At 39.1% G+C, this 17,637-nt stretch overlaps 1 annotated feature.

Annotated features, from left to right (window-relative positions):
- Positions 14,427 to 14,627: a silencer, noted in NCBI's record as "peak2134 fragment used in MPRA reporter construct". NCBI's record gives its function as "represses an SCP1 promoter by STARR-seq MPRAs in K562 erythroleukemia cells {active_cell/tissue: K562}" and the evidence as "EXISTENCE:reporter gene assay evidence [ECO:0000049][PMID:32103011]".

The following is a 17,637-nucleotide window of genomic DNA, read 5'->3' on the forward strand; positions in this document are numbered from 1 at the left end:
CGACATAATCTTATATGTAGAAAACTTTAAAGACTTAACAAACTGTTACAACCAATAAATGAATACAAAATCAACATACACATGAAGCATCCAAAAATGAAATCAAGAAAACAATAACAGAAAAAAAGTCTGCAAGGAGATGGCCGAATAGGAACAGCTGCAGTTTGCAGCTCCCAGCGAGACCGATGCAGAAGGCAGGTGATTTCTGCATTTCCAACTGAGGTACCCAGTTCATCTCACTGGTTAGGCAGTGGGTCCAACCCATGGAGGGCACACAGAAACAGGGTGGGGTGTCGCTTCACCCGGGAAGTGCAAGGAGCCAGGGGAACCTCCCTGCCCCAGCCAAGGGAAGCCATGAGGGACTGTGCTACCTGGCCGGTTACTATGCTTTTCCCACGGTTTTTGCAATCTGCAGATCAGGAGATTTCCTTGTGTGCCTACACCACCAGGGCCCTGGGTTTCAAGCAGAAAACTGGGCAGCTGTTTGGGCAGACACTGAGCTAGCTGCAGGAGTTTTTATACCCCAGTGGTGCCTGGAACCCCAGCGAGACAGAACTGTTCACTCCTCTAGCAAGAGGGGGCTGAAGCCAGGGAGCCAAGTGGTTTCACTCAGTGGGTCCCACTCCCACGGAGCCCAGCAAGCTAAAAACCACTGGCTTGAAATTCTCACTGTCAGCACAGCAGTCTGAAGTTGACCTGGGGCGATCGAGCTTGAGGGAGGGGCATCTGCGATTACTGAGGCATTAGTAGCTGGTTTTCCCCTGACAGTGCTAAAGAGGGTGGGAGGTCTGGCCTAGTGGGATTCACCACAGCACAGCAAAGTCACTATGGCCAGACTGCTTCTTTAGATCCCTCCTCACTAGGCAGGACACCTCTGAAGGAAACGCGGCAGCCCCAGTCAGGGGCTTACAGATATAACTCCCATCTCCCTGGGAAAGAGCAGCTCGGGGAAGGGGCGGCTGTGGGAGCAGCTTCAGAGGCTCTGAAGAGAACAGCTGGTCCTGACAAGGGATTCTCCCAGTACAGCACACCAGCTCTGCTAAGGGACAGACTGCCTCCTCACATGGGTCCCTGACTCCTATGCCTCCTGACTGGGCGAGACCTCCCAACAGGGGTCAACAGGCATCTCATACAGAGAGCTCTGGCTGGCATCAGGCTGGTGCCCCTCTGGGAGGAAGCTTCCAGAGGAAGGAGCAGGCAGCAATCTTTGCTGTTCTGCAGCCTCCACTGGTGATACCCAGGCAAACAGGGGCTGGAGTGGACCTCCAGCAAGCTACAGCAGACCTGCAGAAGAGGGGCCTGTTAGAAGAAAAACTAACAAACAGAAAGCAACAAGCAACAACATCAACATCAACATAAAGGACCCCCACACAAAAACCCCATCTAAAGGTCATCAGCCTCAAAGATGCAAGGTAGATAAATCCACGATGATGAGGAAAAACCAGCGTGAAAACACTGAAAATTCCAAAAAACTAGAATCCTTTTCTCCTCCAAATGATTGCAACTCCTCTCCAGCAAGGACACAAAACTGGACAGAGAATGAGATTGACAAATTCACAGAAGTAAGCTTCAGAAGCTGGGTAATAACAAACTCCTCTGAGCTAAAGGAGCATGTTGTAATGCAATGCAAGGAAGCTAAGAACCTTGATAAAAGGTTACAGGAACTGCTAACTGGAATAACCAGTTTAGAGAGGAACATAAATGACCTGATGGAGCTGAAAAACACAGCACGAGAACTTCGTGAAGCATACACAAGTATCAATGGCTGAATTGATCAAGAGGAAGAAAAGATATCAGAGATTGAAGATCAACTTACTGAAATAAGGCATGAAGACAAGATTAGAGAAAAAAGAATAAAAAGGAACAAACAAAGCCTCCAAGAAACACAGGACTATGTGAAAAGACCAAACCTACGATTGATTGATGTACCTGAAAGTGACGAGGAGAATGGAACCAAGTTGGAAAACACACTTCAGGATATTATCCAGGAGAACTTCCCCAATGTAGCAAGACAGGCCCACATTCAAATTCAGGAAATACAGAGAATACCACTAAGATACTCCTTGAGAAGAGCAACCCCAAGACACAATAATCATCAGATTCTCAAAGATTGAAATGAAGGAAAAAATGTTAAGGGCAGCCAGAGAGAAACGTCAGGTTACCTACAAAGGGAAGCCCATCAGACTAACAGCAGATCTCTCTGCAGAAACCCTACAAGCCAGAAGACAGTGGGGGCCAATATTCAACATTCTTAAAGAAGAGAATTTTCAACCCAGTATTTCATATCCAGCCAAACTAAGCTTCATAAGTGAAGAAGACATAAAATTCTTTATAGACAAGCAAATGCTGAGGGATTTTGTCACCACCAAGCCTGCCTTACAAGAGCTCCTGAAGAAAACAATAAATATGGAAAGGAAAAACCAGTACCAGCCACTGCAAAAACACACCAAAATATAAAGGTCAGTGACACTATGAAGAAATTGCATCAACTAATATGCAGAATAACCAGCTACCATCATGATGACAGGATCAAATTCACACATAACAATATTAACCTTAAATGTAAATGGGCTACATGCCCCAATTCAAAGACACAGACTGGCAAATTGGATAAAGAGTCAAGACCCGTCAATGTGCTGTATTCAGGAGACCCATCTCACATGCAAAGACACACATAGGCTCAAAATAAAGGGATGGAGGGATATTTAGAAAGCAAATGGAAAGCAAAAAAAAGCAAGGGTTGCGATCCTAGTCTCTGATAAAACAGACTTTAAACCAACAAAGTTCAAAAAAGACAAAGAAGGGCATTACATAATGGTAAAGGAATTAATGCAACAAAAAGAGCTAACTATCCTAAATATATATGCACCCAATACAGGAGCACCCAGATTCATAAAACAAGTTCTTAGAGACCTACAAAGAGACTTAGACTCCAGCACAATAATAGTGGGGGACTTTAACACCCCACTGTCAATATTAGATCAATGAGACAGATAATTAACAAGGATATTCAGGACTTGAACTCAGCTCTGGACCAAGTGGACCTAGCAGACATCTACAGAACTCTCCACCCCAAATCAGCAGAATATACATTCTTCTCAGCACCACATCACACTTATTCTAAAATTGACCACATAACTGGAAGTAAAACACTCCTCAGCAAATGCAAAAAACAGAAATCCAACAAACAGTTTCTCAGACCACAGCGCAATTAAATTAGAACTCAGGATTCAGAAACTCACTCAAAACCATAAAACTATATGGAAATTGAGCAACCTGCTTCTGAATGACTACTGGGTAAATAATGAAATTAAGGCAGAAATAAAGAAGTGCTTTGAAACCAGTGAGAACAAAGAGACAACGTACCAGAATCTCTGGGACACAGCTAAAGCAGTGTTAAGAGGGAAATTTATAGCACTAAGTGCCCACATCAGAAAGCTGGAAAGATCTAAAATTGAGACCCTAACATCACAATTAAAAGAACTAGAGAAGCAAGAGCAAACAAATTCAAAAACTAGCAGAAGACAAGAAATAACTAAGATCAGAGCAGAACTGAAAGAGATAGAGACACGAAAAACTCTTCAAAAAAATCAATGAATCCAGGAGCTGGTTTTTTGAAAAGATTAACAAAATAGATAGACCACTAGCCATACTAATAAGAAAAGAGAGAAGAATCAAATAGACATGATAAAAAAATGACAAAGAGGATATCACCACTGATCCCACAGAAATACAAACTACCATCAGAGAAGACTATAAACACCTCTATGCAAATAAACTAGAAAATCTAGAAGAAATGGATAAATTCCTGGACACATACATCCTCCCAAGACTAAACCAGGAAGAAGTGTAATCCCTGAATGGACCAATAACAAGTTCTGAAATTGAGGCAGTAATTAATACCCTACCAACCAAAAAAATCCCAGGACCAGATGGATTCACAGCCGAATTCACCAGAGGTACAAAGAGGAGCTGGTACTATTCCTTCTGAAACTATTCCAAACAATAGAAAAAGAGGGACTCCTCTCTAATTCATTTTATGAGACCATCATCATCCTAATACCAAAACCTGGCAGAGACAACAACAAAAAAAGAAAATTTCAGGCCAATATCCCTGATGAACATTGACGCGAAAATCCTCAATAAAATACTGGCAAACTGAATCCAGCAGCACATCAAAAAGCTTATCAACCACTATCAAGTCAGCTTCATCTCTGGGATGCGAGGCTGGTTCAACATGTGCAAATCAATTAACGTAATCTATCACATAAACAGAACCAATGACAAAAACCACATGATTATCTCAATAGATGCAGAAAAGACCTTTGATAAAATTCAACATCTCTTCATGCTAAAAAGTCTCAACAAACTAGATGTTGATGGAACTTATCTCAAAATAATGAGCTATTTATGACAAACCCATAGCCAATATCATACTGAATGGGCAAAAGCTGCAAGCATTGTCTTTGAAAACCAGCACAGGACAAGGATGCCGTCTCTCACCACTCCTATTCAACATAGTATTGCAAGTTCTGGCCAGGGCAATCAGGCAAGAGAAAGAAAGAAAGAAAGAATATTCAAATAGGAAGAGAAGAAGTCAAATTGTCTCTGTTTGCATATGACAGGACTGTATATTTAGGAAACCCCATCATCTCAGCCTGAAAACTCCTTAAGCTGATAAGCAACTTCATTCAGGATACAAAGTCTCAGGATACAAAATCAATGTGCAAAAATCACAAGCATTCCTTTACACCAATAACAGACAAGCAGAGAGCCAAATCATGAATGAACTCCCATTCACAATTGCTGCAAAGAGAATAAAATACTTAGGAATACAACTTACACAACATGAAAGACATCCTCAAGGAGAACTACAGATTACTGCTCAAGGAAATAAGAGAGGATACAAACAAATGGAAAAACATTCCATGCCCTTGGATTGGAAGAATCTGTCTTGTGAAAATGGCCATACTGCCCAAAGTAATTTATAGATTCAGTGCCATTCCCATCAAGCTATCATTGACTTTCTTTGCAAAATTAGTAAAAACTACTTTAAATTTCATATGGAACCAAAAAAGAGCTCATAGAGCCAAGACAATCCTAAGCAAAAAGAACAAAGCTGGAGGCATCATGCTACCTGACTTCAAACTATACTACAAGGCTACAGTAACCAAAACAGCATGGTACTGGTACTAAAACAGAGATATAGACAAATGGAGCAGAAGCAGACCTCAGAAATAACACCACACATCTACAACCATCTGATCTTTGACAAACCTGAGAAAAACAAGCAATGGGGAAAGGATTCCCTATTAATAAATGGTGTTAGGAAAACTGGCTAGCCATATGCAGAAAACAGAAACTGTTTCCTCTTGCTGCCTTTCCCAAAATATTCTCATGGCTCATTCTCTCACTTTTTCTGTGTCTCTGTTCAGATGTGACCTTCTTAAGGAAGCCTACTCTGACCAACCTATTTAAAATCACAGTCATTCTCCTCTGCATTCCTGATCCCCTTTAACCTGCTTTATTCCATTCTTTTTCCATAGCACTTATTACCTAACATAGGATATAAATTATTATACTTAATTTTTATTATCTGTCTTCCTCCAATAGAATGTAGGCTATCGGGGAAAGGAATTTTACTATCTTATGTATCTGAAGCAATGTAACAGTGCCTGGTTCTAGAAGATGCTTAATGCTTGATGGGTGAAAGAACAGGCTTTCCAGGTTAGGAAACTAAATAGAATATTAAACCCTATTGCCTGGGACCACAACAAATGTCCTCACAGTTTACTGTCTGGTTAGAATCTTGTATTCAAAACTGACCAATCTTCACCCAAGCTAAATCAAAAGCATACTTTTGTTAGGGCCTTTTGTCAGGGCCAAGATCAAAGAGAATCATGTTTGGTTTGTGCCTTCAAGGACTCGGAGTCTAGTGGCTGGAGGCACGCAAATACATGCCATAGATTATCTTTTTCTGTCACCCCCCTTTTTTGTATGGTAGAGGTAAGGCAAGGGATGGATGCTCGTGAATGATGACAGGGACAGTTAGATTTATCTTGCTTCATTTAGTACAAGAAGAGATTTTTGATGTCATGTGGCAGCCTATTTCGGGTGTCATACTTAGAATTAAAATCTTCCTTCCCCCACGTTGTATCTAACCAAATAGAGTAGATGTCAGATAAAAAAAGATGTCGTTATCTGGAATATAATTATTAACCTATTTAAAAATGCAGAGAGATTTCTATTGATAAAAAATTATGGTCATTGTGCAAGCTTCTGACTAGACCTAATTGTCTCCAGGTCAATTTACAAAACTTGTAATAAAAAGCGCTCCTGGCAGCATTGTTCAAAAAGGAGCCTCTAAACAGGATTTAACTAAGGCTGGTGAATGCAGTGAAAGATGAAAATGAATTAGGTGTTATCTTATTTCTAATCTTAGGTAACAAAATGGTTATTTGTATTCCTATTCAGTAATAGCCAGGATTTTAATTCTGAAATTTCTTTTCATGATCTGTCAAAAGATAATATTTTAAAAAATCGATCCATGTCTGAGAAGCTTTGCATTTTGTTTAATTGAATTATATTTTCCTTTAGTTGAATTTAAAAATAGTTCTTGCTATTCTTTGATGTGACAGAAATCTTGAGTGATATCTCAAGGAAAAAGTAGCATTTTAGGTGCATGCCTATTTTTCTGTTCATTTGATTTCTTATTGTTTGTTGAGTGCCTATCATGTACTTGCCTGGATTATAAAGATGAGTATCTCTCCATTTATGGAGATCGTAGTTCTCAGATCTCTCCTGAACAGGGCAGACAGAAGGAATTGCCTACCTTGTATTAATTGTGGTAACTTTGAGGGAAATAGTTTTTATACCTCTTTCGGCTGAAAATTATTATTATTATTGTTGCGGTAAGAACACTTAACATGAGATGTACCCTCTTAACAAATTTTTAACTGTACAATACGGTATTAACTATGGGCATAATGTTGTACAGCAGATCTCTAGAACTTACTCATCTTGTGTAACTGAAATTCTGTACCCATTGAACAGCAACTACCCATTTCCTCCTCCTTTCAAGTTCTGGGAACAACCATTTTTTCTGTTTCTATGAGTTCGACTATTTTAGATACCTCACATAAGTGGAATCATCCAGTATTTCTTTCTGCAAGTAAGACTACAGACAAAAAAGCTTCTGCACAGCAAAGGAAACAATCAACAGAATGAATTGGTTGAAGATTTTTGGCTGGAAAGGAAAAAAAGCCTTGTATGTAATTGAGGGAAAGAATAAACATTGTCAACCTGCATAATTTGTGGTAGTGAGGAATTGTATTTACAATTTTCCGTGATTTTTTTGCTGAAAGAAAAATAAGTTTTTAAAAAATTGTCAGAATTCAAGGTTTGAGAAAAACATCTATATTTTTACCTCTAAGTGACAATTATTATTTGCTTTAAACTATCAATTTCTCCATTTTTATTCATTTTTTTTTTTTTTTTTTTTTTTTGAGACAGAGTCTCACTTGTTGCCCATGCTGGAGTGCAGTGGCACAGTCTCTGCTCACTGAAACCTCTGCCTCCCGAGTTCAAGTGATTCTTCTGCCTCAGCCTCCCGAGTAGCTAGGACTAGAGGTGCGTGCCACTGCTCTGGGCTAATTTTTCTGCTTTTTAATAGAGACAGGGTTTCACCATGATGGCTAGGCTGGTCTTGAACTCCTGCTCCTGTCCTCAAGTGATCCAACTGCCTCGGCCTCCCAAAGTGCTGGGATTACAGGCGTGAGCCACCATGCCCGGACTGTATTTTTATTCATTTCTATTTTCCTCCAAAAGATAGGCTACCTTTTTTCTTAATGGTTATTTTCATTGATGTTCCTTCCCTTTTTTCTTCAAGATGATAATTTCTCAAAACATTTTCTTCACCTCTATTTTCTTATGATTTTGTGACATTTCTACGTTTATTGTCTATATTCTCACTTTTAAAAAGCTGTAGAAGCTCATGTCAACCTTTCCTTGAGTAAATCAAGTGATTCTCAAATTACTCCCCTACACCCCTGCTTTTTTTCCTCCCATCTTTTGTTCTTTGGCTCCTCTCTCCAAAGACATCATCCTATTTTCACTTTCCTTTCTTCCTTCCGATATGTAGTTAACCTACCTCTTGCTGAAATATTTTTGGTCCCATTGATTTTCTATATTTGGAAAATCTTTCAATAGATTTCAAAGACTTGTCTAGTCTATTATATTCCTAAGAAAGATATTCTTTACTGAAACTTTATTTTTTCATCTTTCTGGATGTCTCCATTAATTCTGTCTTATTCTCTTTTTACGTTTTTGTCTTCTTCATGGAGTATACAAAACTTTCCTCTTTCTGAATTATCTTTGATTTATCAAAAGAGTGATTCTAACACAAAATGCCAGAGATTTCTCCTCTTATTCTAGGAAGATGACCCTAACATAACTTCTTCTCTGGGCCTCTGGTAGGTCCCCTTTCTTAAATTCCATTTTCTAGTTTTCCTTAAAGAGTACATAAACAGGCAGGGTGTAGTGGCTTATGCCTGTAATTCCAGCACTTTGGGAGGCTGAGGCAGGTGGATCACCTGAGGTCAGGAGTTTGAGACCAGCCTGGCCAACATGTTGAAACCCAATCTCTACTAAAAATACAAAAATTAGCCAGGCGTGGTGGCACATGCTCTTAATCCCAGCTACTCAGGAGGCTGAGGTAGGAGAATCACTTGAACCTGGGAGGTGGAGGTGCAGTGGGTCAAGATGGCGCCATCACACTCCAGTCTGGGTGACCAGAGTGAAACTCTGTCTCAAAAAACAAACAAACAAACAAACAAAAAACAGAGAGAGAGAGTACATAAGCAGTCACTTGTGAAGACTGATTTTTCAAAGTTTGCCTCCTCTTTTGGTGAGACCGGATGGCTTACTCCATATTCTCATGTTAGAGAGGCTCACCTAGTTAAGCACTACATCAAGAATGTCAAAATCTGGTGGTCTTGGGATGTTTGAGTTTGTTCTGTCAATTTATCTGAATTAGACAATTTATGTTATAGTGAATCTCTTAGATTTCTCTAAATATTGATTTAAAATTTTCTCCAAGTCCTTTTCCAACTTTTTAGCATACCAAGACATTACAGTGACACTTTTGGAATTCTCTTCTCTAGTCAACTTGAGAGTTTTGATGGTATCTCCTTTCTGTTAATCCAGTTTCAGACTCCTCAGCTGTAACTTCAATAAGAAATGTTTCAAAACACAAATGTTACCTACTACACCTATCCACCTACCCACCAATTCCTTCCGTCCCTTGTTTCTGTCAGTTAAATTTAGGAGTTTTCTGCTCATTCTGACACTATTTGATTGAAAAATCAGTTCTTGGGAGTAAAAGTTTTTATTCATTGTAATTCTTTGGTGTCAAGTTATGACCAAAAGACATACCTACCCTATTTTCTCATGCTCTTCACCTTTTTTTCCTTACAGGATAGATTCTTAAATAAGTTCTTGCTCCTGAAAACCATCTTGACTGTCCCTCACACACAAAAAATTTCACCTTATTTTTTTGAAGTGTGAAACAATTTGTTCTCAATTCAAAAGTGTCTTCTCTCCTCACCTTCAGTAATAAACGCTCAAGAAAAATGATTTCTCTGCACACTAAAGAGTCATCATTGGAAATGCAAATCATAACCACAATGAGATACCACTTCACATCCACTGGGGTGGCTAGAATAAAAAAGACAGATAATAACAAGGGTTGGTGAGGATGTAGAGAAATTGGATCTCTTTGCACTGCTGGTGGGAATGTAAATTGGTGCAAACATTTGGAAAAACAGTCTGGTAGTTTCTCAAAAGTGTAAACATAGAATTACTATATGACCTAGAGATTCCACACCCAGGTATATAAACAAGAGAAGTAAAAACATATATCTACCCAGAAACTTACACACAGATGTTTATAGCAGCACTATTTATAATAGCCAAAAGGTAGAAACAACCTAAATGCCTATCAACTGATGAATAGGTAAATAAAATGTCATGTATCTATACAATGGAATATTATTCTGTCCTAAAAAGGAATGATGTACTGATAATACAACATAGATGGACCTTGAAAATATGTTAGGGGAAGGAAGCCAGATGCCACAAAAAACCACATATTGTATGATTCTATTTGTGTGAAGTGTTCAGGATAGGTAAATCCAGAATACAGAGAGTGGATTAGTGGTTGCCTAGCACTGGGGTGGCAATGAAGGAGTGATGATAATGACCACTAATGGGTATTGGGCTTCTTTTAGGCATAATTGCATTTCTTACATTTATTTTAATCTATGGTCCCACCCACCTCCATGTCTTTTTTTCCCTTTGCAAATTTTTTGTTGTTGAAGTAATCAGGCCTGAAGAGTTCCCATGGTCTGTATTTTCTGACTGCATCTCCATGGTGTTGCTGGCATGTACCCCTCTGTGCCCTGTTTTTCCTATAAATTGGTAGTTAAGGCTGGGTGTGATGACTCGCACCTGTAATCCTGGCACTTTGGGAAGCCAAGGCAGGCGGATCACTTGGAGTCAGGAGTTTGAGACCAGTTTGACCAACAGGGTGAAACCTTGTCTCTACTAAAAATACAAAAGTTAGCCAGGCATGGTGGTGCATGCCTGTAATCCCAGCTACTCGGGAGGCTGTGGCACGAGAATCTCTTGAACCCAAGAGGTGGAGGTTGCAGTGAGCTGAGAATGTGCCACTGCACTCCAGCCTGTGTGACAGGGTGAGACTGTCTCAAAAAGAAAAAATTGTTAGTTAAATTTAGTGGTTGATCAGATTCAGATACTTCATAGATTATTGTATTGGGTACTCTACCAGGAGGTATATAACATTTGATATTGAGCCTTTTAAGAGGATGTTAGCAACTGCTGATGATTATTTTCTACTTTCATAAGGCATATTCCGCATATTCTAAAGGGGGATATTCTGTTTTTACTTCTTCCTTTATTAGTTGGAATACTTACAGCTAAAGAAAAACTTCCCTTCAACTACTACTACTAGCATTCTCTGAGCTACAATTCACAAAGGAAAGGCAGGAGAGATGCTTGATTCTTTCCCTCTATTGACCAGCTTTAAAAATGTGAAGTGGTTCCCCAGCATGCATCAGTAATCACCAGAGCTTTTGAAAGTATCCTTATGAACTTACAGATTTAAACATATGTATTTTGTTCTAATCCATTGCTGGTATAATCCTTATTGGTGCCTAAACTTCCCATATTTTGCCAGTGGGAACATTCAAGTTGGCTCCTGGGTCCTTTAACTGCAACTCCAGTAGTGTTTGATGACTTGCTTATTTTCTGGTGTAACAAGTTGTTCCAGGCTCATCTTTTACATTTCCTGCTCTAGACCTGAATCTGCCATTTCTCCAGGGAGTCCTGAAGTATTTCAGAGACCATTACCTGGGTACAGTGGTTACCTGTGGCCTCTATCTAGTTTGGTCGTTATTTCTAGGTCTTTTCAGTGGGCAGATAGCGGAAAAATTTTTTTAAGATAAAATGCATTGATGCTTCTAATAAAAAAATAGGGTTTTTGCTTAATTTTGTTGATCCATATTTCCTTTCTTCTATATTGTAATCTGTTCTTAACACCAATGTAAGTACGTATTTTCCTTATCCCATGCTAAACACACAGGTGTCTGAGAGTAGTGTTACAAATGCTACTCCCAATAATATGATTGGTTTAAAACTTTTAAAATTGTTTGCAGTTATTTTTATAATTTGAGTGTGTCACCAAAAAAATGACCAGATGCATTACTGTGTTTTAAAGTTACTTGAAATGCTTTGTTTCTGATGGTAGTGCCACCAACTGTACATATGTTTAGGTTCTTTTTTTTACTTTTTATTATTAAGGATTGCTTTTTTATACTTCTTCAATTAAGATATAATTTACATGCCATGAAACTAATCCTTTTTAATGTATAGTTCTATAAGTTTTGACAAATGCATAAATATAACTTCCACCAAAAATCAAAATATAGAACAGTTTATCACTCCCTAAAATTGCCTTGAGCCTCTTTGTAATCACTCCTCTCCCTACCCTCAAATCTCTGGCAACCACAAATCTGTTTTCTTTCTCTGTAGTTTTGCTTTGTTCCAGAATGTCATATAAATGGGATCATACAGTATATAGTTTTAAAGTATAGACTGTTAACATGAAAGGACTGCTTTTACAAATTTATATTTTCTTATAATGATATAAAATGTTTACGTGATTCCACAGTCAAATCAACAAAACAAAGTGTATGCAAAGAAGTCTAGCTTTTATTCTTGTCTCCTCCACTTTATTCCTTTCTTCCCTCTATAGATAGCCATTTTTTTTCTTTGAGACAGGGTTTCACTCTGATGCCCAGGCTGGAGTGCAGTGGCATGATCTCAGCTCACTGCAGCCTCAATCTCCAGGGCTCAAGTGATTCTTCCACTATCCCCTGAATAGCTGGGATTAGACGCACATGCCACCACATATGGCTAATTTTTTGTATTTTTTTTTTTATAGAGACGGGTTTTTGCCATGTTCCCCAGGCTGGTCTTTAACTCCTGGGCTTAAGTGATCTGCGCACCTTGGCCTCCCAAAGTGCTGGAGTTACAGGCCTGAGCCACTACACCTGGCCCACTTTGTATTTTTTGATCTCTATATATGTATCTTACTATCTACATATCTTATATCTCCCTGTCCCTTCTTAGATAAACAGTTAACTTACTACACTCATTTTTCTTAAGTGGTATATTTTAATTTAAATTAATTTCAAGGACCAATTAAAAGGGCCTAAGGATAACAATTTATTTGACTAGCCTCTAGTTTTAAGTTGGAATTTTGTGCTTGATAAGGAGTAAATCATCTTTCCTTTCTTCTCTCCCTTTCTTACTCCCAAATGTTATGAGTCAGTGCTGGAAATGTGTCTGTTGCTGTGGACTCGGAGTGTGGTGTCTGTACTGCAGTTTTTCAGGATTGGCTAAAATTTTCTGAGTCCTTCATGTCAAAATGGGTTTTGTGCAAGCTTATGCAAGCAAAAAACAACAAACATTACTGAGTACATTTTGGTGCAAGGTATATGCAAGATGTGGGGGATAAGGCTGGGAACAAATCAGATACTTTCCCTGACTTCATTATCCTACAGTTCTGAGAAAGGAAAATAAAAGGGTCAGGAGTGTTCACCATGTTAAGAGATAAGAGAAGCTGGGGCTTCTCATTTTCTGGTGTGGTGGCCAAAGCTTACCACAAGAGTAGTCACAATAGATGGACATTTACCTTGGTGCCTTCTTTTGCCATAAAGCCTGATCTGGTGACTGAAATTTCCATTTCTGCAGAAGTCATTACTTTGAGCTGTTGTTATCTTCAGAAACACTGGTTTAAATGAATAGGAAGGGGCAGTACATTAATATATTAGATCTCATTTCATTATTGCCCAATGCCTTTAATAGATTGCTAGAAGATGGAAGGCCTCCAGAAGTATTAATAAGAAGAGTATGAGGAAAACAACAAGGAGTCAGATTATAGGTATAACAAAGCTTAGGTTGCTAATGTACACAATGACAGATAATCAAAATGATTTTGATAGGTTGGGGGATGGGCCTAGTATCAACAGGATAAAATAATGTATCGATAAAAGTAACATTTAGAATTCTTTGTTACACAGATAAACATATACACCTGGCCCAGGAACTGGAGCAGCTGAAGAAAGATCCATGGGAAAGTAGAGCAAGTTGTAGGCCCAGCTGCTGCTTCACACCAATGAAGTGCAACAGCAGAGGTAAGCAGCAACCTGTGTGAGCAAAAAATGGCTGCTGCATCATTTCTGTACACTAAATTGCCCACAGGAATCATTCTGTCTCTGATGCTCATCAGAAATACACAGGACAGGGAATTCTGGGAAATGTAGTTCAGCATAGCCAATTTGATACGTTACAAATCCCACTAAAGATGTGTACTACTGTGATTGTTTTGGTGTCAGGAAACAGACTCGAAAACTAGTTAAGGAAAAAATAATTTTCAAGATACAAGGGCAACTCAAGTAATCCAGAGCAAGAATGCATCCAGGCCTATGGAGAGCCTGGAATCCCACCAATGCTGCCTCTTGGCATAGCTTCTTCATTCTCTTTGTAAGCCTGTTTCCTCTGCCTTTTTGATCTACATAGCAAGTGCAAGATGGCCAGCCCACAGGTCCCAAGGTTATATTTATGGTAACTAGAGGAGGCATCCCAAGAGACTAAGCCAGTCTGTCTCTGTCTTTCTCTTCTTGACTATTTTAGTTCAAATATTGGTAAATGGATTCTGATTGGTCTAGCTTAGACATTGTGCTTATTCTTGTCCAGTTAGGGGATAGAGTCACATTATACAAAATGCTTCCAGGAGCAGTATCCACCATTGTGAGAGAAGCAGACCATTAATGAGAGTGCACTCAAGGAGTTTCTAGAATTGGTTTGTCAGCTAAATTTGTTCTAAAATTTGTTCCTCAGCAAGCTGTGATACCACAAGTGAAGCCTAGATAACCCTGTGGTTTTGAGTAGTGCAGTGTATTTTTGTTTTCTTACTTGTCACTCTTTTCCCTTTTGCACTACTCAGCTTCGATGCCTCAGTCCCTCCAGGACTAGGAAAGCAATCAATATGTTATCTTCTGATTCCCACTTTGAACTAGAGTTATCTGCATTTTTAGAGAGAAATAACAAAAGGCAATTATAGGGTTTGGCTCTGTGTCTCCACCCAAATATTATCTTGAATGGTAATAATCCCCACACATCAAGGGCAGGACCAGATGGAGATAAATGAATCATGGGGGGTCGTTTCCCCCATGCTATTCTCATGATAGTGAGTGAGTTCTCACAAGATCTGATGGTTTTATAAGGGGCTTCCCCCCTTCACTTGGCTCTCATTCTCTCTCCTGCCACTCAGTGAAGAGGTGCTTTCCACCATCATTGTTTAAGTTTCCTGAGGCCTCCCTAGCCATGTAGAACTGTCAATTAAACCTCTTTTCTTTAAAAATTACACAGTCTCAATTACCCAGTCTCTTTATAGCAGCATGACAATGGACTAATATAGTAAATTGGTACCATAGAGGGTGGGGTGCTGCTATAAAGATACCCGAAAATGTGGAAGCGACTTTGGAACTGGGTTACAGGCAGAGGTTTGAAGAGCTTGGAGGGCTCAGAAGAAGACAGGAAGATGCGAAAAAGTTTGGAACTTCCTAGAGAACTGTCACATGGTTTTGACCAAAATGATGAGAGTGATATGGACAATGAAGTCCAGGCCGAGGTGGTCTCAGGTGGAGATGAGGAACTTCTTGGGAACTGGAATAAAGGTGACTCTTGCTATGCCTTAGCAAAGAGATAGGCAGCATTTTGCCCCTGCCCTAGAGATCTGTGGAACTTTGAACTTGAGAGGGATAACTTAGGGTATCTGGCAGAAGAAGTTTATTGTTTTTAACTTTTTATATTATTTATTTATTTTACTTTAAGTTCCAGAATACAAGTGCAGAACGTGTAGGTTTGTTACATAGGTATACATGTGCCATGGTGGTTTGCTGCACCTGTCAACCCGTCATTTAGATTTTAAGCCCACATGCATTAGCAATTTGTCCTAATGCTCTCCCTCCCCTCGGCACCCCCTTCCCCCGACTGGCCCGGGTGTGTGTTGTTCCCCTCCCTGTGTCCATGTGTTCTCATTGTTTGACTCCCACTTATGAGTGAGAACATGCAGTGTTTGGTTTTCTGTTCCTGTGTTAATTAGTTGAGAACGATGGCTTTCACCTTCATCCATGTCCTTGCAAAGGACATGATCTCATTCCTTTTTATGGCTGCATAGTATTTCATGGTGTATATGTGCCACATTTTCTTTATCCAGTCTATCATTGATGGTCATTTGGGTTGGTTCTATGTCTTTGCTATTGTAAATAGTGCTGCAATAAACATATGTTTGCATGTGTCTTTATAGTAGAATGATTTATAATCCTTTGGGTATATACCCAGTAATGGGATTGCTGGGTCAAATGGTATTTCTAGTTCTAGATCCTTGAGGAATTGTCACACTGTCTTCCACAATGGTTGAACTAATTTACATTCCCACCAACAATGTAAAAGCGTTCCTATTTCTCCACAGCCTTGCCAGCATCTATCGTTTCTTGACTTTTTAATAATCATCATTCTAACTGGCATGAGATGGTATCCCATTGTGGTTTTGATTCGTATTTCTGTAATGATCAGTGATGTTGAGCTTTTTTTCATGTTTGTTGACTGCATGAATGTCATCTTTTGAGAAATGTCTGTTCATATCCTTTGCCCACTTTTTGATGGTTTTTTTTTCTTGTAGATTTGCTTAAGTTCCTTGTAGGTTCTGGATATTAGACCTTTGTCAGATGGGTAGATTGCAGAAATTTTCTCTCATTCTGTAGGTTGCCTGTTCACTCGGATGATAGTGTCTTTTGTTGTGTAGAAGCTCTTTAGTTTAATTAGATCTCATTTGTCCATTTTGCCTTTTGTTGCAGTTGCTTTTGACATTTTTGTAATGAAATCTTAGCCCATGCTGATGTCCTGAATGGTATTGCCTAGGTTTTCTTCTAGGGTTTTTTATGGTTTTGGGTTTTACATTTAAATCTTTAATCCATCTCGAGTTAATTTTTGTATAAGATGTAAAGAAGGGGTCCAGTTTCAACTTTCTGCATATGGCTAGCCAGTTTTCCCAGCACCATTTATTGAATAGGGAATCCTTTCCCCATTGTTTGTTTTTGTCAGGTTTGTTGAAGATCAGATGGTTGTAGATGTGTGGTGTTATTTCTGGGGTCTCTGTTCTGTTCCATTGGTCTATATGTCTGTTTTGGTACCAGTACCATGCTGTTTTGGTTACTGTAGGCTTGTAGTATAGTTTTAAGTCAGGTTGCATGATGCCTCCAGCTTTGTTCTTTTGCTTAGGATTGTTTTGGCTGTACAGGCTCTGTTTTGGTTACATATGAAATTTAAAGAAGTGTTTCTAATTCTATGAAGAATATCAGTAGTAGTTTGATGGGAATAGCATTGCATCTATAAATTACTTTGGGCCGTATGGCCATTTTCATGATATTGATTCTTCCTATCCATGAGCATGGAATGTTTTTTCATTTGTATGTGTCCTCCCTGATTTCCTTGAGTGGTGGTTTGTAGTTCTCCTCAAAGAGGTCCTTCACATCTCTTGTTAGCTGTATTCCTAGGTATTTCATTCTCTTTGTAGCAATTGTGAATGGGAGTTCATTCATGATTTGGCTCTCTGCTTGTCTATTGTTCGTCTATAGGAATGCTTGTGATTTTTACACATTGATTTTGTATCCAGAGACTACTAAAGTTGCTTATTAGCTTAAGGAGTTTGGGGGCTGAGATGATGGTGTTTTCTAAAGATAGAATCATGTCATCAGCAAACAGAGGCAATTTGACTTTCTTTCTTCCTGTTTGAATACGCTTTATTTATTTCTCTTGCCTGATTGCCCTGGCCTGAACTTGCAATAGTGTGTTGAATAGGAGTGGTGAGAGAGGGCATCCTTGTACCAGTTTTCAAAGGTAATGCTTCCAGCTTTTGCCCATTCAGTATGATGTTGGCTATGGATTTGTCATAAATAACTCTTATTATTTTGAGATATGTTTCATCAATAC

This window comes from Homo sapiens, chromosome 14, assembly GCF_000001405.40.
Source record: "Homo sapiens chromosome 14, GRCh38.p14 Primary Assembly".
NCBI lineage: Eukaryota > Metazoa > Chordata > Mammalia > Primates > Hominidae > Homo > Homo sapiens.